This window comes from Homo sapiens, chromosome 3 (assembly GCF_000001405.40).
Source record: "Homo sapiens chromosome 3, GRCh38.p14 Primary Assembly".
Classification (NCBI taxonomy): Eukaryota; Metazoa; Chordata; class Mammalia; order Primates; family Hominidae; genus Homo; species Homo sapiens.
Window position 1 is genome coordinate 131620225 of NC_000003.12, and position 23116 is coordinate 131643340.

General features: G+C 39.0%; 1 protein-coding gene across 10 annotated transcripts in view; it reads right to left on the bottom strand.

Moving 5' to 3' along the window:
* Positions 1-23116, bottom strand: part of CPNE4 (copine 4) — a 506038-nt gene that overhangs the window by 86656 nt on the left and 396266 nt on the right. The window contains exons 3-4 of one of the 10 annotated variants that reach the window (XM_047447423.1): positions 2532-2657; positions 224-327 (exon numbers count right to left, since the gene is read on the bottom strand). The exons of the other annotated variants lie outside the window; for them this stretch is intronic. Of the exons in view, the coding sequence (XP_047303379.1) occupies positions 224-327; positions 2532-2657 (230 nt within the window). The remainder of the gene's footprint in view (positions 1-223; positions 328-2531; positions 2658-23116) is intronic. 10 annotated transcript variants of the gene reach the window in all.

The following is a 23116-nucleotide window of genomic DNA, read 5'->3' on the forward strand; positions in this document are numbered from 1 at the left end:
GTTCCTGTTTTCAGAACACAAAAATTGCTGTAATTGTTTGGTTAATTTAAAAAATAATGATGATGTATTGCAAGAAAATGATTTAAGGAGAGAGTTTCTTGGAGCAAGAAGTGATGTTAAGTGTTTAAAGGTTTTAAATTGACAAACTAGGCTACGGTAAATCCTTTTACTTTTGGAATAGTGAGCCATTTTCCTTGAGCTCTTTGGGTCCTGAGTTACTCACCATGTTCAGCATAGATAAATGCTTTTTGTCCTTCAGTGAAGACACGGCTGATGGTAGGCAGAATAATGGTTCCTCAAGTATGTCCATACCCTTATCCCTGGGACCTGTGGATATGTTACTTTAAATAGCAAAAAGAACTTAACAAATGTAATTAAGTATTTTGAGACAAGAATAGAAGCCCAGATTATCCAGGTGGGCCCAATATAATTACAAGAGTCCTTATAATAGAGGGCAGGTGAGTAAGAATCAAAGAAAGAGATGCAATAATGGAAGCAGAGGTCAGGGTGCTGTGATTGCTAGAAGGGGGTCACAGGCTAAGAAACGCAGGTAGCCTCTAGCAGCTGGAAAAGTAACAGCAAATGATTCTTTCCTAGAGTCTCCAGAGGAATGCAGCTCTGCTGACATCTGTTTTAGCCTAGAGAGACTAATTTTGGGTTTCTAATATCCAGAACTATAAGATAATACATTTTCATTGCTTTAAGCCACCAATTTTGTGGTAATTTTGTTACAGTAGCAATAGGAAACTCATAACACCATCATCAAGTGGTTTTTGTCTGTTATTTCCATGATGAGTAGGAAGGCTCTTGTATCCAAGAGGGATCCTTAGCAAAAACCAGCATGGAGGCAAAACTAAGACCCAAGTTCAAAGTTGATTGTTTTGACCTTGACTTAGCACGCATTTCTGGGTGAATAAGCCCTAATGTCTTCCTTTGACTCTGAGACCCATGGAGTTTCTGTTCCTTATAACTGCCAGTGACAATGTTCCACTTCACTGTGCCTTTCCTATGGTCATTTACTCTTTTTTTATTCTTTTTTAGACAGGTTCTCTTACTGTCATCCAGGCTGGAGTGCAGTGCCACAGTCATGGTTCACTGCAGCCTCAAACTCCTGGGCTCAAGTGATCCTCCTGCCTCAGCCTCTGGAGTAGCTAGGACCACAGATGTGCACCACCACACCTGGCTAATTAAAACTTTTTTTTGTAGAGACAGGACCTTGCTATATTGCCTAGGCTGGTCTTGAACTCCTGGCCTCAAGCAATCCTCCTGCCTAAGCCTCCCAGAGCACTGGGATTACAAGCATGAGCCACCATGCCCAGCCCTCTCTTACTTCTCTTAATGCTACCATGTCAGATATCCTCTAGGCCATTATCCCTCAGATACTGCAGGTTTTAGGGCCAGCTTTGGAGAATCTTCCCCATGAAACTTGTAGTCCATAAATCCTATTCTGAGGAAATTACAATAATGTTTCCTAAAAATTATGCCATTAAATGGAATGTAGGCCAGGCACGGTGGCTCACACCTGTAATCTCAGCACTTTAGGAGGCCAAGGTGGGCAGATTGCTTGAGCTCAGGAGTTTGAGACCAGCCTGAGCAATGTGGCAAAACCCCATCTGTACAAAAAATACAAAAAAAAAAATGAGCTGGGCATGGTGGTGAATGCCTGTAGTTCCAGCTACTCAGGAGGTTGAGGTGAAAGAATGGCTTGAGCCCCAGAGGTGGAGACTGCAGTTGCAGGGAGCCGAGATTGTGCCACTGCACTCCAGCCTGGGCAACAAAGCCAGACCCTGTCTCAAAAAAAAAAAAAAAAAAAAAGAAAAGAAAAAAAGAAAAGAAATGTTCTTAGCTGTCACATTCCAATGTGTCTTTCCCTAATTGTAATCAATCAGCTTCTTAAGCCCATGTCTCCTGAGTCTCTGTAACTCAGAGACGGTTTATTATTTGTAAGCATTGGCCTCATATAAGGATAGACCACTGGCTGTGGTCTCTTGTCTGGTTTCATCACTCTTGGGAACCTCCTTTTACCTCACTTATTTACTCCCAATTTTGATTTTAGGAAATGGAGTTAATCCCCTGCTGTAAACATGGTTTCATTTGCTATACTACACTAGGAAGAATGGCAACTTAAGTTTGCTCAGTTATCAATAAATTAGAATGTTGATTACTCACACATGATCTTAAGATTGTTATACTATGAAACATATTGTGAATCCTATCCTAAAGTGTCGCTCATTTAAAAGTCTTGAAGGCCATCTCCTAGACTTAATAAACATGAACAGATGTAGGTTGACAGTCAGTAGCTGAGAGAGACATACTGAAGCAGAGCAGGCATTCAATGTGAAACAGTCTAGGAGCTACAGATACATCCTGGAAAACTTGTTTAATATATGGGTGCCTAATTCTAGGAATATATATGCAACACCTGCTTATGGGAAAAAGTCTGTGTTGGCTTCTATGTATATGCACAGTGGGGAACAGTCCTATAATATAGGGAAGGGGGAAATAATTGACAGGAGAGGGTGGACACTTACAGCAGGTCAAAAATGGTTGTCCTCTGCACAGTGGCAAGAGGGAGATAGCTGCAAGGCCCATACTGAAATCAAAGAGATCTGCCTCCACAGGAGTTTGCCGCTGTCCGTGATTCTGAAAGTACTGCCCTAGAACACAGAAGTTTATCATAGCTTAAGTTGGGTTTCATCACTTTTTGTTGTTGCTGTTGTTGTTCTGTTGCTTGGTAGCCGCATCAATAGGTGTCTAGAAGAGACAGAAGCATGATGCAAATTTTCCTTAAATGGAGACCAAATGCTATAGTTCATAGAGGACGGTAAGTACAAGGACAGAGGAGGGGCCAGGTATTTAATTGGAGACTACAAAGAGTTAATATGATAATTCTGTCTGCGATGTCTATAAAGTCCCCATTTCTACCTTTTGCTACACCATCAATTCTATTTTTATATCATCTTTTTATGTCACTAAACTCTACTGTAGTGACATACTTAAACTGAAAAAAAAGAAACCCTGAACTTTTATTTTTATGCAACAAGACAGATGGAGTGTGCTGAAATGAAATCCTTCATTGGGTGATGATTTTTGTTCAGGTTATGAAAACTTGTGATGGCTCCTGTGAGTAAACAATTTTAAATGTTCTATCTCCCCTCCCTCCTCAAAAATAAAAAAATCTTGATGTGCAATTCTGAGCTACCCAGGTCTCCTCTTGCTGGGCTAGGAGCTGTCAGCAGTCACAAGAGAGTTTCTCAAATCACTCCTCTCAAGAACTGTCATTCTTGACTAGACTTCACCTCCTTACTCCTGGCAGGTGCTTCTTTATTTCTACTTGCAGTCCTCCCTCCTGAAATTGATTTATGCCTTAACAAAAAGCTAGTTCAAGCTTCTGTGTCAAGGCTGTTGTTATTCAAATCCTGGTGTGGAGCAGTGTGATCTGTGGATCAGCAGCATAGCGGTCACAACTGTGTTAAAATGCATATTCCCAAGTTGCATCCCAGACTTATTGAACCAAAATCTGCATTTAAACAAAATCCCCAGGTGGTTTTATGCATATTAAAGTTTAAGAAGCACTGATTTAGGTGATAGCTAAACCAGTTCAGTTGGCTGAACTAGGAAGACCTGTTTCCAATGTTCTAAATCTGCTTGTTGGGCCTATTTATTCATTCAATCGGTAATGGGTATCTATGCTGTATGAGGCATTACCCGATGTGGGTAAAACATAAAGAGAGTATAGCTCCTTTTCTCCTTATTTGTCACGGCAGTTGTTTACCACCTTGACCTGCTCTTTGGCTCTGGAAGGGCTGACCCTTCTCACCATCCTCCTTAGTTTTGGGTGCCTGGCCTTGCTTTACTCACTGCTATTGGTGTCTTTCTGAGTTTTGTCTGCGAATTTGGATTTTGTTTCCTTTTGTTCTGCCATGACTCCACCTGGGTTTTCTGAGTCTGACTTGGCCATCTTTCTGACCATTGCTTATCTCACGCACCAAGTTTGCTGAGGCTGCTCAGACCCTGGCTCTCTTCCTTGTGACTGTGTCCCATTGCTACATATGGCCTTAGAACATAGCTTTCTCATTTTAACCATAAGATACATATTTTCCTAACTGCTGATATCTGGGTCTGGGTTTCTAGGAATTGTGGCTTTCACCAGAAATTGCCAGGGTCATACCTTGGGGAGAAGTAACTTGTCCTTGCACCAGAAAACACAGGACTTTATTTTCTTACCATGAAAAGTATACCCTTTTCCCCAGAGCCTTTTTTTGTCCCTTCCTCAATTTAACCATTTTTTTTTTACATAGCAGAATAATGAACCATAATAACAAATGGCTATATTTTCTAGAAAGCCTATTAACTTTCCATATTCTTTTCATTCTCTTTTATCACTAATGGAACTTACTATACATTGAGTTTCAACCCCAAGTCCAAGTAGATTCAACTAATTTGAGAGACCTAGAACCTATAAATCTTAACATGGAGTAATTTTTCAGGAGGCAAACATTGCCTGTGCTTTCTAGTTTCTTCAGCGGAATAACGTTTCTCCTAAGACTGGTTCTATTTAAAACGTGCTCTTTCCCTACACTCACATAGCACTTTACCAGGTGACTATTATCTGATTGGGTGCTACAAAAACTGTGAGGTCTCATGGGATGTATCATTGTTGCCTTGACCCCAGAACTGCACTTCTCATGCACAGAAGCTCATAGAGATATTTTCAAAATGGTGTTTTTAGCTTCTGGTCCTTACCCTATGCAAACAGAGCTCTAGTCCAGTTCATAAACAGGCCATGGCAGGTGCTATTCCATCCATCTAGGTTTGCCATCTCTTTCCTGCCAGAACTCTGACTGATACCTCCATTATTAAGCCTTTCTCTCTCTTTGCACCTTGCCAGGGTCTCATATATAACTTATCCAACTCCTCCTTTTCTTATCTAAACAAAAGTTAACAGTACAATTAACCACACTCCTCCCCTCAAACATCTATGGGGTCAAGGAACTATTATTTAAAGAAACATCCAAACTCTATTGCCCAATTAGTCCTTTCATCCCTTCTCCATTCTCTCTAAACAAACATTTATTAGGCCTCTATTATGTATCATAAATTATATTACCATATTTTATTGGCTTGAAGTCATTATTGATTGAAGGAAGCACCATTATTTCAGGTCCTACTATAAAGTTAAAAGCATCCAAAATTAGGAATTTAACAGGAGACTTCTACCTAATTCTGAGACATTATAGATTTACCCTTTGAGGGTAAGAGTAAATGAGAAAAAAAGCTCACTATGCAGAACGGGACAGTAAGAAAATGTACATATATCAACTTTGGTATTGGCTAGAGACAGGAAAAAAAATCTCTTCCAAAAATTTGAACCAAAGCTGGTACAGTAGTGCCCATTTATCCATGGAGGATATGTTCTAAGACTTCCAGTGAATGCCTGAAGTCGTGGATAGAACTAAATCCTATATATTCTATGATTTTCTTTATATATATCTATAAAGGTTAATTTATAAATTAGGCACAGTAAGAGATTGCCAAAAACAATCAATGCAGGCACACTTTGTTTTATTTTGCTTCTCAGATATTACATTTCTTACAAGTTGAAAGTTTGCAGCAACCCTGTTTTGAGTAAGTCTATCAGTGTCATTTTTCCAACAGGATGTGCTGCTTCATGTCTCTGCATCACGTTTTGGTGATTATTGCAATATTTCAAACTTTCTCTTTATTATTGTACCTATTATGGTGATCTGTGATCAGTGATCCAAATGTTACTATTGTAATTGTTTTGAGGTGCCACAAACTGTGTCCCTATAAGACAGTGAACTTAAACAATTAATGTGTGGGTTCTGACTTCTCCACCAACTGGCTATTCTCCCATCTCTCTCCCTCTCCTTGGGCCTTCCTGTTTCCTTAGATACAACAATATTGAAATTAGGCCAATATTGTTAATAACCCTAAAGTGGCCTCTAAATGTTCAAGAAAGGAAGAGTCACATGTCTCTCACTTTAAATCAAAAGCTATTAAGCTTGGTGGGGAAGGCAAGTCAAAAGCCTAAAGAGGCCAATAGCTAGGCCTATTGCAACAAACGCTTAGTCAAGTTGTTAATACAATAAACAAATTCTTGAAGAAAATTAAAAGTACTACTCTAGTGAACATATCAATGGTAAGAAAGCAAATGAGACTTTTTGCTGATAGGGAGAAAGTTTTAGTGGTTCGGATAAAAAATCAAACCAGTCACAACATTCCATTAAGCTAAAGCCCAATCCAGAGTAAGTCCTTAATTCTCTTCATTTCTCTGAAGGCTGAGAGAGGTGAGGAAGCTGCATAAGAAAAGTTTGAAGCTAGCAGAATTTGGTTCATGAGGTTTAAGGAAAGAAGCTGTCTCCATACCAGAAAAGTATAAAGTGAAGCAGCAAGTGCTGATGGAGAAGCTAAAGCATGTAACCCAGAAGATCCAGCTATGATCATTGATGAAGATGGCTAGGCTAAACAACAAATTTTCAATATAGACAAAACAGTCTTATATTAAAAGTAAATGCCATCTAGGACTTTCTTAGCTAGAGAGGAGAAGTCAATGCCCGGCTTCAGATCTTTGAAAGACAGGCTGACTCACCTGGTGACTCTAAGTTGAAGTCCATGCTCACTGGCCACGCTGAAAATCTTAGGTTCCTTAAAAGTTATGCTAAATTGCTGGGCACGGTGGCTCACGCCTGTAATGCCAGCACTTTGGGAGACTGAGGTGGGTGGATCACGAGGTCAGGAGTTCGAGACCAGCCTGACCAACATGGTGAAACCCTGTCTCTACTAAAAACACAAAAATTAGCCAGGTGCGGTGGTGGGCGCCTGTAATCCCAGCTACTCAGGAGACTGAGGCAGGAGAACTGCTTGAACCCGGGAGGCAGAGGTTGCAGTGAGCTGAGATTGTGCCACTGCACTCCAGCCTGGGTAGACAGAGTGAGACTCCATCTCAAAAAAAAAAAAAAAAAGAAAAAAAGAAAAGAAAAAGAATTATGCTAAATCTACTCTACCTGTGTGCTATAAATGGAAGAATAAAGCCTGAATGGCATCACAATCATATCTGTTTATAGCGTGGCTTTCTGAAAGTTTAGAGTCCACTGTGAGACCCATTGCTCAGAAGTAGAGTCCTTTCATAATATTACTGCTCATTGAAAACACACCTAGTCACCCAAAAGCTCTGATGAAGATGTACAAGGAGATTCATTGTTGTTTTTGTGTCTGCTAACACAACATCCATTCTGCAGCCCATGGATCAAGGTGTAATTTTGACTTTCCAGTCTTCTTATTTAAGGAATACATTTTGTAAGGCATACCTGCTATAGATAGTGCTCTGATGGATCTGGGCAAAGTAAATTGAAAATAGTTTGGAAAGGATTCATGACTCTAGATGCCTTAAGAACATTCATGATTCATGGGAGGAGGTCAAACTACAAGCATGAATAGGAGTTTGGAAGTTGATTTTAATGCTCAGGGATGACTTTGAGGAATTCAAGACTTCAGTGGAGGAAGAAGCTGCAGATGTGGTAGAAATAGCAAGAGAACTAGAATTAGAAGTAGAACCTGAAGATGTGATTGAATTGCTGCAATTTCATAATAAAACTAATGGATGAGGAGTTGTTTCTTATGAATATCAAAGAAAATAGTTTCTTGAGATGAAATCTACTCCTAGTGAAGATTCCATAAACATTGTTGAAATGACAACAAGGAATTTAGATTATTATATAAAATTAGTTGATAAAGCAGTGACAGGGTTTGAGAGGATTAACTCCAATTTTGAAAGAAATTCAACCATGGGTAAAATGCTGTCAAACAGCATCACATGGTACAAATGAATCTTTCATGAAATAAAGAGTCAACGGGGCAAACGTAATCGTTATCTTATTTTAAGAAATTGCCACAGCCACCCCAATCTTAAGTGATCACCACCCTGATCAGTCAGCAGCCATCAACATTGAGGCAACATCCCAACACCCTCTGTATTAGTCCATATTCACACTGCTGATGAAGGCATACCCAAGACTGGGAAGAAAAAGAGGTTCAGTTGGACTTACAGTTCCACATGGCTGGGGAGGCCTCAGAATCATGGTGGGAGGTGAAAGGCACTTCTTACATGGTGGCAACAGAAGAAAATGAGAGGGAAGCAAAAGCAGAAACCGCTGATAAGCCCATCAGACCTCATGAGACTTATTCACTTTTTTTCTATTGATTGGAATAGTTTCAGAAGGAATGGTACCAGCTCCTCCTTGTACCTCTGGTAGAATTTGGCTCTGAATCTGTCTGGTCCTGGACTTTTTTTGGTTGGTAGGCTATTAATTATTGCCTCAATTTCAGAGCCTGTTATTGGTCTATTCAGGGATTCAACTTCTTCCTGGTTTAGTCTTGGGAGGGTGTATGTGTCCAGGAATTTATCCATTTCTTCTAGATTTTCTAGTTTATTTGCATAGAGGTGTTTATAGTATTCTCTGATGGTAGTTTGTATTTCTGTGGGATCAGTGGTGATATCCCCTTTATCATTTTTTATTGCATCTATTTGATTCTTCTCTCTTTTCTTCTTTATTAGTCTTGCTAGTGGTCTATCAATTTTGTTGATCTTTTCAAAAAAAACCAGCTCCTGGATTCATTGATTTTTTGAAGGGTTTTTTGTGTCTCTATCTCCTTCAGTTCTGCTCTGATCTTAGTTATTTCTTGCCTTCTGCTAGCTTTTGGATGTGTTTGCTCTTGCTTCTCTAGTTCTTTTAATTGCGATGTTAGGGTGTCAATTTTAGATCTTTCCTGCTTTCTCTTGTGGGCATGTAGTGCTATAAATTTCCCTCTACACACTGCTTTAAATGTGTCCCAGAGATTCTGGTATGTTGTGTCTTTGCTCTCATTGGTTTCAAAGAACATCTTTATTTCTGCCTTCATTGAGACTTATTCACTATCACGAGAATAGCACGGGAAAGACTGGCCCCCATGATTCAATCATTTCCCCTTGGGTCCCTCCCACAACACGTAGGAATTCTGGGAGATACAATTCAAGTTTAGATTTGGGAGGGGACGCAGCCAAACCATATCACCCTCCACCAGCAAAAAGATTATGACTCACTGAAGGCTCAGATGATTATTGGCATTTTTTAGCAAGAATATTTTTAAATTAAGGTATGTTCATCTTTTTTTTTCAGACATAATGCTATTGCACACTTAATAAAGAACAGGATACTGTAAACATAACTTTTTTTTGACACAGAGTCTCACTCTGTTGCCTAGGTTGGAGTGCGGTGGGTGTGATCTTGGCTCACTGCACCCTCCGCTTCCCAGGTTCAAGCAATTCTCATACTTCAGTCTCTCAAGTAGCTGGGATTACAGGCATGCACCACCACGCTTGGCTAATTTTTGTATTTTTAGTAGAGATGGGGTTTTACCATGTTGGCCAGGCTGGTCTCGAACTCCTGGCCTCAAGTCATCTGACTGCTTTGGCATCTCAAAGTGCTAGGATTACAGGTGGGAGCCACTGTGCCTGGTCAATAGTGTAAATATAACTTTTATTTGCACTGGAAAATCCCCAAATCTGTGTGACTCTCCTTATTGTGATATTCACTTTATTGCAGTAGTTTGGAACCAAACCCACAACATCTCTGAAGTATGCCTGTAATAGGCATTTGTGAATGTGGTCTCTCTCTCGTTCTCTCTCTCTCTCTCCCCCTCTTTCCTTCTCTTTCTCCCTCTCCCTTACTCTCAAAATATCTTATTGTACTGTACTCATCCTTCTTCTTGTGATGATATGAGATGATAAAATTGCTATATGATGAGAAGAAGTGAGGTGAATGATGTAGGCATTGTGATTTAATGAAAAATGCCAGAAAAAAGCAGTTTGTAAGTTTTAAATTGCATGTGTTCTGAGTAGCATGATGAAATCTCACGCTGTCCTGCAACACAGGATACGAATCATTCCCTTTGTCCATCTATTCTACCTGCCGGCTAGTCCCTTAGTGGCCATCTTGATGATCAGATCTACTGTCACAGTATCACACTGTTTTTGTACAAGTAACTTATTTTACTTAATCATAGCCCCAAAGGGCATGAGTAGTAATGTAACATTTTCAGACTGTGGCTGACCAATGGCAACTGGTACTCTGGAAAGAGAAACCACAGATAAAGGGGAACTACTGTACTCAGGGCCTCAGTCTGAACTCACTACTGGTGCAGTGAAAAAACCTCAAACAGAAAATTTAATTTAAAGGAGTCTCAAGTTAGTCATTTCTCAAGTGAGTGGAAGAAACAAAGTTAAATCCTTCCTTTAAGAATTTGACTTGCACCTATGATGTCCATTAGGCCCACCACTAGACATATGTGGCTATTTAAATTTTAAACAATGAAAATAAAATAAAATTAAAAATTGACCTCTTTAGTTGCACCAGCCATATTTCAAGTCCTCAGGAGACATATGTGGCTAGGGGTGACCATATTGAATGGAACAGATATAGAATATTTCCATCACACAAAGTGTTCTTCTGGACAGACTGACCAATAGCAATAGATTATAAGATGAAACCTGATTTCCAAGACATAAGAAGAATATGAATAAAATGTGTGTCTTAGACTCAATGAAATATAGTAGATGTAGAGATAGGGAGATAAAAACCTCTCTTTGGGGGCTCAGCAGATAGGAGAATCAGGCTGCTGATTAGGACAACATCAGGGTACCCTGAAGTTCTAAATCATGGAGAATTCCTCTCCAGCCACCTCAGCTTCGAGAGAAGTCTGAAGCCACTTGGACTGTGAGCTCACTGTGTGTGACTAACTGGGGAATTAGCATGAAATCTCATTACTTGGATGACCTCCCAGGCCTTTACTTCTGTGGAAATTACAATTGCATGCAGAATGACATATTTTCAGATATCTTTTTTCTCAGAATATGGCTACCCTTGACCTTTTAAAATTAAATCCATTTTTTATAAAGTCACCATAAAATCATTAGAGTTAATATAATCATTTTCTGAATCCCAAGAGAAGACAAAACCAGTTGAAATTCCAGAGTAAAACATTTTAAAGAGAAATTTTCTATGTCTTTAGCTTTCCCCAATCCAATCCCCATCCTTTGACATGTCTCTCCGGGGATTTTTGGTTTTGATTGAAAGTTTTGTATATAGTAGTTTTATGTGGGAAAGGTACAGGGAACTTCAGTAGGCCTAGAAAATGGAGCTACTGGTTTGGGTTTGCACAGTTTCAAACCGAAAAAAGACTTAATAAACAATTCAATTCAACAATGAAATATTTAATTTAATGAGAAATTACTTTGTGACTCTGTATTTTTAAATTGCTACCTGTTTTTCTCCCAGTTCAATGTATTACCTTATACGGAAAACCGGAAATTATTAACATTTTTCTTTTTCTTCAGTTAATAATAAGGGATCATTGAAATATGGTCCCCATCACAAAGTGTATTTTAATGAGAGAATTGCCTCTTATAATACTAAATAGTATTTAGTATTGATAAAACATTGAAGTAGTAGTTTTTGTGTGGGGGAAATGTAGGAGGGGTTGCAGGAGGAGAGAAACTGGAGATGAATGGGAGAGTTGTGGAAGGAGATTTTAGATTTTTTGAGGGCCTACTATGTGCCAGTTCTGTGATAGGTGCTTTACACGTAATTATCCCCCCTCCCCAACACTTTTTTCTTTTTTCTTTTTTTTTGAGACAGAGTCTCACTCTGTCGCCCAGGCTGGAGTGCCATGGCACCCTGTAGTCCCAGCTTCTCGGGAGGCTGAGGCACAAGAGGGAGGCTGAGGCACGAGAATCGCTTGAGCCCAAGAGGCAGAGGTTTCAGTGAGCCAAGATTGCACCACTGCGCACGATCTTGGCTCACTGCAGCCTCCGCCTCCTGGGCGCAAGTGATTCTCCTGCCTCAGCCTCCCGAGTAGCTGGGATTACAGGCGTGCACCACCATGCCTGGCTAATTTTTGTATTTTCAGTAGAGTCGGGGTTTCACCATGTTGGCCAGGCTGGTCTCGAACTCGTGACCTCAGGTGATTCACCCACCTTGGCCTCCTAAAGTGCTGGGATTACAGGCATGAGCCACTGTGCTCCGCCTCATTATTCCCATTATCTCATGCAACCCTATGAAGTAGATTATTACCTTCAGCTTATGAGGGAGGAAACTAAAACTCAGAGAGGCTAAGTACCTTGCCCTAAGTCACTCAGTCAGTAAGTAACAGCGTCAGACTTTTGCCAACACCACTCTGTTGAAATTACTCTTGTTAATATGGGGTCTTTTCAATTACCCCACAATGGTAAATTCAAAGAGCAATTTTCAGTCCTCATCTTTGTTGATCTATCAACAGCATTGACAAGGCTGATGAATTCCTCCTCCTTAATATACTATAAATACTTGCCTTTCAGGACATAAGACTATCCTGTTTTTTCCCCCAGTATTACTAGACACACACCTTAGAATTATCTGATAGATACTTCTCATCTCTTTGAACTCCTACTAAGCCATGCCCCAAAGCTGAGTCCTTGAGCACCTTTTCTTCTCTTATGCTCAGGCCTTAGGTCAGGTTTTCTCAGTCTTGGTACTGTTAACATTTCGGTCCTATAATTCTTTGTGGTAAGGGACTATCCTGAACATTACAAGGTGTTTAGAAGCATCACTGATGTCTACCCACTAGATGCCCATAGCACTTGCCCCAAGCACCCCAGTGGAGAACCACTGACCTAGATGATCCCGTATCTCTCCAGTCCAGACCTTTCCCCTGAACTGCTGTCTACTCTAACTCTCCATTTCTGGTGCCTAACATTTGGGTCTTCTACCCCAAACTTGATCCACCTGCAGTCCTCCCCATCTCAGCTAATAGTATCTCTACCTTCCAGTTGCTCAGGCTAAGATTTCTCTCTCCTGCACTCCACATCAAATCTTTCAGGAAATCTTGTTGGTTTTACTTTCAAAATATATCCAGAATCTAATTCCATCTCAACATTTTCACCACTACCTCCCTAGTCCATTCTACCATCATTTCTTGCCTGAATTATTGCAATTAGCTTTCTATCTGGTCTCTTTGCTTCCATCATTACCTCTCTAAAATTTCATTCACCTCCTTACCCCACCCCCATCCCTACCACATTATAGGTACCCATTGTAAGGTAGAAGTACCTATTCTTCTCAAACACACAGAAATCTTTATAAAAGTTGACCTCTGGTTAGGACTAGACTAAAGAGCCGGTCTCAAAAGTCAAAGAAGCATATGAGGCAGACCATGTTCTGTGACTATTACTACTAAATAAAAACATTGATTTTTTAAAAACAACTGAATCTCTAACTAAAAATTTTTTGAAAGTCTGCTGTCTAAGTAACTCATAAGTGAAGACATAATTAATAATAATGGAAACAAAAATTACTTGGAACTAAGTGACAATAAAGATAAGTATTAGAATTTGTGTGATATGGCTAAAAGTGAGCCATCAATGAAAATTTAAAGCCTGAAACATTTGTACTCGTTATGAAGAAAGGCTAAAAATTGATAAGCCAAATGTTCAATGTAACTTTTTTATTTTTAAAAAAAAGAACAGAATAAACCCAAAGAAAGGAGAAAGAAAGAAAAAAATTGGCAGATGATTTTGGTTCACTCCCCTTTCCCTTCTTTATTTAGAATCATTGTTTTATAATATTATTTGTAAAGGCTGAAGAGGATTACATTATTTAAATTGTTCTACTATTGTTGTTACTACTCACCTATGTTGGCCATTTCATTTATAAATATGAACATATATAATTATTTCCATAGAACAAATTTTTAAGAATAGAATTGTGGAGCTAAAAAAATGCACATGCTTAAGGCATTTGATATATTTGGGGATTGGGATGGTTAGCCATATTGATCTCAATTAATTTTGGAGATTATACTGCAACCCTTGGTACATTTAATAAAAATATACTCTTATTCTTTATCTTACTGTTTGTGTGATATAAAAATGTATCTTCACTCCCAACATGCATACTTATCCTTCAGGTATTGGAAACACATTTAATAGTCATATAAACTGCATATGCTGAGCATCCATTCACTGACTTAATAAGTTTATAATACATAAATGCCAAGATTGGCAAATATTTTGCCAAAGCTTTATCCATAGGAAATCTAGATTAGAAATAATACTTCACTTTGAATAATTTCTTCAGGTGTAGCTGTCAGAATCAATGAAGAAAGTAAGTAATCAAACTCATTTATCAACACAATCCAATTCTGCAGAACATCAGCCAGCAAAATAATTCTAGAGACAATTAAACCTAGGTCTCCAGTTTAGAGGCCAGTAATATCCAGTAACTTCATAGTCTGTTCTTATTTGCTTACCTCCATTCTTGAAATGAATACTTTAGATTGGGTAAATATAATTACTTCCACCTTGAACCTAACCAGACCTTCAATATTCTCATTCTTGAGTCTGACAATATCTCATAACTGGAAAGGAGATGAGAGGATAAGAAGGTAAAAATTGAAGCAATGTTCTTTCAGAATTCATGTGAGAAACTGTAAAGCTTAAAAAATTTTTAGTTATGTTTTAAAAGAGACTATCCTAGGTCTTATGTCACTACTTCATAAGCTGAAATCATCCTAAGTGGAAAATGGGGGGATTCAGTGTCTTTCCTTTTGGTCGAGGAAATTACCAAACACTTAAAAACATCTGAAAAAATAAATTAATAACACATCAAATGGTACTCAGATGCAGTCACATATGATCTTTTAAAGTTCAAATTATTTCATTTATAGCTTATCCCTTTGAAAAACTTGATTATGACAGGTCTTTGATCGGTGACTTATGGCTCAATCATAAGGATGAAAAATAAATTTTGATTTTTGGAATGCTTTTCCATGATTTCTGTAGAAGAGCATTTGTATTTTCCACGATTTTTCTCAAATTTGGGTTCAGTAACCTCTTCCCACTTAAAATAGATTTCTAAGAGCTGCAGTTGTAAAAAGTCTCGGAAAACCTGCGGGTCATAGAATGACTTAACACCCATCATAAACAGAAGGCTCCTAACTTTGTCACACTATTCTAATAAATGATTTAGACATAATCACTTTTGGAGTGGTCCTAAAAGTGCCCTACTAATGTTTAAAAAGACTATTCTAGGTTTATCAATTTCTAAGTTTTCTAAATACTATTCAAAAGTATACAATTACCTTTCTACTTAATCAACATTGTGTAAGATATTAGATCAATATATCTATTCCTATGCTGTCTAATAGGGTAGCCACTAGCCACATGCAGCTCTTTAAATGTAAATTCATTAAAATTAAATAAAATTAAAAACTCAATTCCTCTGCTTCCACTAGCCATATTTCAAGTACTCAATAGCAACACATGTCTTGTGATAGCCCTATTGGACTGTGCCAATATTAAACATTCTGTTGAATGCAGAATAGGACATCACGAAAATTCTGCTACACAGTATTATCTGAGACACATCAATCTAATATCCTGCATACAGACCAAACAGGGGAGAGGGATGAAGATGGCAGACAGGAGGCAAGACTAGCTTGCAGCTCCTGCTTGCATAGACAGTGCAGTGTATGGAGACTTATACCGTGAACTTTTGCTCCAAGAACTACTGCAGGCACTTTGGGAGGCCGAGGCGGGCGGATCACGAGGTCAGGAGATCGAGACCATCCCGGCTAAAACGGTGAAACCCCGTCTCTACTAAAAATACAAAAAATTAGCCGGGCGTAGTGGCGGGCGCCTGTAGTCCCAGCTACTTGGGAGGCTGAGGCAGGAGAATGGCGTGAACCCGGGAGGCGGAGCTTGCAGTGAGCCGAGATCCCGCCACTGCACTCCAGCCTGGGCGACAGAGCGAGACTCCGTCTCAAAAAAAAAAAAAAAGAACTACTGCAGGAACATACCAGTAAAGCCAAGAGAATCCACAGACCCTTTGAAGGAACTGGATCACTGCTGCAGGCTCCCTGAGATGCCAAAAAACTGTGACTCTGCTTGCTTATTGGCAGGGAGGCTTGTGGTCTGGGGCAAGTTCTTAGCCCTGGTCACTGACTGCCTGAAAATAGACTTGGTGCTGTTGAGCGGGGTTGCTTGGTAAGTGTGAGACCGGCCTTTAGGATTGCAGGCTCCATGGAAGCAGGGTGAAGCCTGTGACTGCTGTCTTTCCTCTATTTCTCTGGTGACCTGTTTGACTCAGCAGAGGCAGCCATAATCCCCCTAGGAATATAACTCCAATGGACTGGGAACCACACCCCCATCACCCACAGCAGCTGCAGCAAGCCCTGCCCAAAGAGAGGCTGAGCTCAGACACTACTATCCCTGCCCCCACCTAGTGGTCTTTCTCTACCTTCTGTGGTAGCTGAAGACAAAGGTCATAGTCTCTTGGAAGCTCTGTGGCCCTGCACACCACCTGAGAAACTTTAATACTTGACCAGGTGTCCCTAGGGCAAGTTTGCATCCTCCCTATAGGACCGCAGCTGATGCACTCTTGAAAGCGCAACCTCCTGGCTGGAGGCCAATCAACACAAAACCAGTGCACTAAACAAAAACACAACTAAGGACCCTGATAGAGTCCACTTCTCTCCCCTGCTACCTCCACCAGAGCAGGTGCTAGTATCCATGGCTGCAAGACCTGAAGATGAATCACATCACAGGGCTCTTTGCAGACAGTTCCCAGTACCAGTAAAGAGCCCAGTAGCTCTGCTGGGTGGCTAGACCCAGAAAAGCATAAACAATCACTACAGTTCAGCTCTCAGGAAGCTCCATTCCTAGGGGAAAAGGGAGAACAGCACATCAAGGGAGCACCCAGTGGGACAAAAGAATCTGAACAGCAGCCCTTGAATCCCAGATCTTTCCTCTGACATAGTCTACCCAAATGAGAAGGAACCAGAAAAACAATTCTGGTAATATGACAAAACAAGGTTATTTAACACCCCCAAAAGATCATACTAGTTTAGCAGCAACAGATCCAAACCAAGGCAAAATCTCTGAATTGCCAGATAAAGAATTCAGAAGGTTGATTATCAAGCTAATCAAGGAGGCACCAGAGAAAGGTAAAGTCGAACTTAAAGAAATAAAAAACATGATACAGGATATGAAAGGAAAATTCTTCAGTGAAATAGATAGCATAAATAGAAAACAACCACAACTTCTGGAAATCAATGAAATACTTAGAGTAATGCAAAATGCACTGGTAAGTCTCAGCAATAGAATCAAATGAGCAGAAGGAAGAATTTCAGAGCTCAAACACAAGACTTTCAAATTAACCCAATCCAACAAAGACAAAGAAAAAAAATTTTGTTAATGAACAAAGCCTCCAATAAGTTTGGGACTATGTTAAATGTCCAAACCTAAGAATAATTGGTGTTCCCAAGGAAGAAGAGAAATCTAAAAGTTTGGAAAACATATCTGAGGGAATAATTGAGAAAAATTTTCCCAGCTTTGCTAGAGATCTATACATCCAAATACAAGAAACTCAACACCTGGGAAATTCATCACAAAAAGATCATCACCTAGGCACAGTCATCCAGTTATCTAAAGTCAAGATGAAGGAAAGAATATTAAGAACTGTGAGGCAAAAGCATCAGGTAACCTATAAAGGAAAGCCTATCAGATTAAGAGCAGATTTCCCAGCAGAAGCCCTACAAGCTAGAAGGGATTGGGGTCCTATTCTTAGCCTCCTTAAAGAAAAAAATTATCAGCCAAAATTTTGTATCCAATGAAATTAAGCTTAATAAATGAAGGAAAGATACAGCCTTTTCCAGACAAACAAATGCTGAGCTAATTTGCCACTACCAAGTCAGCACTACAAAAACTACAAAGGGAGTTCTAAATCTTGAAACAAATCTTTGAAATACACCAAAATAGAAGCTCCTTAAAGCATATTTCTCACAGGACCTATATAGCAATAACACAATGAAAAAAAAACCACAAGGTATTCAGGCCACAAATAGCATGATGAATAGAATAGTACCTCACATCTCAATACTAATATTGAATATAAATGGCCTAAATGTTCCACTTAAAAGATACAGAATGCCGGAATGGATAAGAATTCACCAACCAAGTTTCTGCTGTCTTCAGGAGACTCACCTAACACAGAAGGACTCACATAAACTTAAGGTAAAGGGGTGGAAAAAGATATTCCTTGCAAATGGACACCAAAAGTGAGCAGGAATAGCTAAACTTGAAAGCAGCAGCAGTTAAAAAAGACAAAGAGGTGATAGTATAATGATAAAAGGACTAGTCCAACAGGCAAATATCACAATCCCAAATATATATGCACCTAACACTGGAGCTCCCAAAGTTACAAAACAATTACTCATACTAGACCTAAGAAATGAGACAGATGGCAACATATAGTGGGGGACTTTAATACTGCACTGACAGTGCTAGATAGGTCATCAAGACAGAAAGTCAACAAAGAAACAATGGACTTAACTATACCCTAAAACAAGTGTACTTAACAGATATTTACAGAACACTCTACCCAACAACTGCAGAATATACATTCTATTTATCAGCACATGGAACATTCTCCAAGATAGACCATATGATAGGCCCCAAAACAAGTCTCAGTAAATTTAAGAAAATCAAAATTATATCAAGTACTCTCTCAGACCACAATGGAATAAAATTGGAACTCAACTCCAAAAGGAACCCTCAAAACGATGCAAATATGTGGAAATTAAATAGCCTGTTTCCAAATGATCAACAATGAAATCAATATGGAAATTAAAAAATTCCTTGAACTGAACAATAATAGTGACACAACCTATCAAAACCTCTGGGATAGAGCAAAAGCAGTGCTAAGAGGAAAGTTCATAGCATTAAATGCCACATCAAAAAGTCTGAAAGAGCACAAATAGACAAGCTAAGGTCACATCACATGGAACTGGAGAAACAAGAACAATCGAAATCCAAACCCAGCAGAAGATAATAAATAAGGAAGATCAGAGCACAACTAAATAAAACTAAAACAAACAAAAAATACAAAAGATAAATGAAACAAAAAGTTGGTTCTTTGAAAAGATAAATAAAACTGATGGACCATTAGCGAGATTAACCAAGAAAAGAAGAAAAAAGATCCAAATAAGCTCAATTAGAAAAAAATTGGTAGATGTTACAACTGATACCACAGAAATACAAAACTATTCAAGGCTACTATGAACATCTTTACATGCATAAATTAGTAAAACTAGAGGAGATGGATAAATTCCTGGAAATATACAACCCTCCTAGATTAAACCCGGATGACATAGAATCTCTGAACAGATCCATAGCAAGCAGTGAGATTGAAATGGTAATAAAAAATTGTCAACAAAGAAGTCCAGGACCAGATGGATTTGGACCTGAATTCTATCAGACATCCAAAGAAGAACTGGTACCAATTCTATTGACGTTATTACAAAAGACAGAGAAAGAAGGAATCCTTCCTAAATCATTCTATGACGCCAGCATCGCCCTAATACCAAAACCAGGGAGGGATACAACAAAAAAGGGAAACTACAGACCAATATCCCTGATGAACATAGATGCAAAAATCTTCAACAAAATACTAGTGAACCAAATCCAATAGCATATCAAAAAAAGATAATTCACCATTATCAAGTGGGTTTCATACCAGGGATATGAGATGGTTTAACATACATAAGTCAATAAATGTGATACACCACATGAATAGAATTAAAAACAAAAATTACATGATTATCTCAATAGATGCATAAAAAGCATTTGACAAAATCCAGTATCCCTTTATGATTAAAACCCTTGGCAAAAGCAGCATAGAAGGGACACATCTTAAGGTAATAAAAGCCATCTATGACAAATCCACAGCCAACATTATACTGAATGGGGAAAAGTTGAAAGCATTCCCCCTGGGAACTGGAACAAGACAAGGATGTCCACTTTCACCACTTTTATTCAACAAAGTACTGGAAGTCTTAGCCAGAGCAACCAGACAAGAGAAAGAAATAAAGGGCATCCAAATCAGTAAAGAGGAAGTCAAACTGTCACTGTTTGCAGATGATATGATTGTATACCTAGGAAACCCTATAGATGCATCCAAAAAGCTCCCAGAACTGGTAAATGAATTTGGCAAAGTTTCAGGACACAAAATTAATGGATACAAATCAGTAGCTCTGCTATACACCAGCAGTGACCAAGCTGAGAATCAAATAAAGAACTCAACCCCTTTCACAATAACTGAAAAAATAAAATAAAATAAATTACTTAGGAATATACCTAACCAAGGATGTGAAAGACTTCTGCAAGGGAAACTACAAAACACTGCTGAAATAAACCATAGATGACACAAACAAATGGAAACACATCCAATGCTCATGGAAGGGTAGAATCAATATTGTGAAAATGACCATACTGCCAAAAGCGATCCACAAATTCAATGCAATTCCCATCAAAATACAACCACCATTCTTCATAGAACTAGAAAAAACAATCCTAAAATTCATATAGAACCAAAAAGGAGCCTGCATAGCCAAAACAAGGCTAAGCAAAAAGAACAAATCTGGAGGCATCATATTACCCAAGTTCAAAGTATACTATAAGGCCATAGTCACCAAAAAAGCATGGTACTAGTATAAAAATAGGCACATAGACACATGGAATAGAATAGAGAACCCAGAAATAAAGCCAAATATTTACAGCCAACTGACCTTTGACAAAGCAAACAAAAACATAAAGCAGGGAAAGGACACTTTATTCAACAAATGGTGCTGGGATAATTGGCAAGCCACATGCAGAAGAATGAAATTGGATCCTCGTCTCTCACCTTATACAAAAATCAACTCAAGATGGATCAGAGACTTAAAACTAAGACCTGAATCCATGAGGACTGTAGAAGATAACATTGGGAAAACCCTTCTAGACATTGGCTTATGCAAAGACTTCATGACCAAGAACCCAAGAGCAAATGCAGCAAAAATAAAGATAAATGGATGGGACTTAATTAAACCAAAAAGCTTCTGCACAGTAAAAGAAATAACCAGCAGAGTTACAAGCAACCCACAGTGGGAGAAAAATCTTCACAATCTATACATCTGACAAAGGACTAATATCCAAAATCTACAAAGTACTCAAACAAATCAGCAAGAAAAAAAAAATCCCATCAAAAAGTAGGCTAAGGACAGGAATAGACAATTCTCAAAAGAAGATATACAAATGGGTCCCAAGCATATGGAAAAATGCTCAACATCACTAAGTATCAGGGAAATGCAAATCAAAACAATGCAATGCAATACCGCCTCACATCTGCAAAAATGGCCATGATAAAAAAATAAAAATTGATTGATTTTGGTGTGGATGCAATGAAAAGGGAACACTTTTACACTGATAGTGGGAATGTAAACTAGTACAATCACTCTGGAAAACGGTGTGGAGATTCCTTAAAGAACTAAAAGTATCCTTTTGATCTAGCAATTCTACTACTAGGTATTTACCTAGAGGAAAAGAAGTCATTATACAAAAAAGATACCTGTACATGCATGTTTGTAGCAGCACAATTCGCAATTGCAAAAATATGGAACCAGCCCCAATACCCATCAATCAACCAGTGGATAAATTGTGGTATTTATATATACCATGGAATACTACTTAGCCATAACAAGGAACAAAACATTGGCATTCGCAGCAACCTGGATGGAATTGGAGGCTATCATTCGAAGTGAAGTAATTCAGGAATGGAAAACCAAACATCCTATGTTCTCATTCATATGTGGGAGCTAAACTATGAGGGCGCTAAGGCATAAGAATAATACATTGGACTTTGGGGACTTGGGGGAAAGGGTGAGGGGTGGCGAGGAATAAAAGACTACACATTGGATACAGTGTATGCTGCTCGAGTGATGGTTGATGCACCAAAATCTCAGAAATCACCACTAAAGAATTTATTCATGTAACCAAATGCCAGCTGTTCCCCCAAAATTTATTGAAATAAAAAATAAAAAAATTTAAAAAGACTAAATAGTGTTCAGAATATTCAAATATCTCCAGAGACCAGGAAGGTAATATACATGTGCAAAACAGCATGGTGTAAGACTATAGAGAAATTTGATGTCAGCTGAATTGGACAGTAAAGAGTAAATGTTCCATCAAGAGGAATACCTGCCTGCCTCTGGCAGCATCTCCCCTAAACTTTGTGCTCTTTTTTTCAGCCAGGCCCTGCAGAGCCCTAAGAACACTTCTGCTAATTTAAGTAAAACCTTGGACCTTGAAAAGTTATTATCTTACCTTGTCTTCCAGGTAAAATAATAGACTTAAAATTAAAGTCTACTTGTGAAATCCTAACACAATTTTATGCATTAATGGCTGATATGGTTTGGCAGTTTCCCCACTCAAATGTTATCTTGAATTGTAGTTCCCATAATCCCCACATGTCATGGGAAGGACCCAGTGGGAGGTAATTGAATCGTGGGGGCAGTTACCCCCATGCTGCTGTTCTCATAATAGTGAGAAAATTCTTATGATATCCGATGGTTTTATAAGGGGCTTTTCCCCCTTTGCTTGGCACTTCCCTTTGCCGCCATGTGAGGAAGGACATGCTTGCTTCCCTTTCTGTCATAATTGTAAGTTTCCTGAGGCCTCCCCAGCCCTGCAGAACTGTGAGTCAATTAAACATCTTTCCTTTATAAATAACCCTGTCTAGGTTATTTCTTCATAGCATCATAGAATGGACTAATATAGTAAATTGGTACTACAGAGAGTGGGGTTCTGCTATAAAGATACCCCAAAATGTGGAAGCAGCTTTGGAACTGGGTAAAACGGGCAGAGATTGGAACAGTTTGGAGGGCTCAGAAGAAGACAGGAAGATGTGAGAAAGTTTGAAACTTCCTAGAGACTTGTTGAATGGCTTTGACCAAAATGGTGATAGGGATATGGACAATTAATTCCAGGCTGAGGTGGTCTCTGACGGAGATGAGGAACTTGTTGGGAACTGGAATAAAGGTGATTTCTGCTATGCTTTAGCGAAGAGTTTGGTGGCATTTTGCCCTTGCCATAGAGATCTGTGGAACTTCAAACTTGAGAGAGATAATTTAGGGTATCTGGTGGAAGGTATCTGGATGTGAGTCATGGAGTCAAAGGGGATCATTTTGGAACTTTAAGGTTTAATGACTG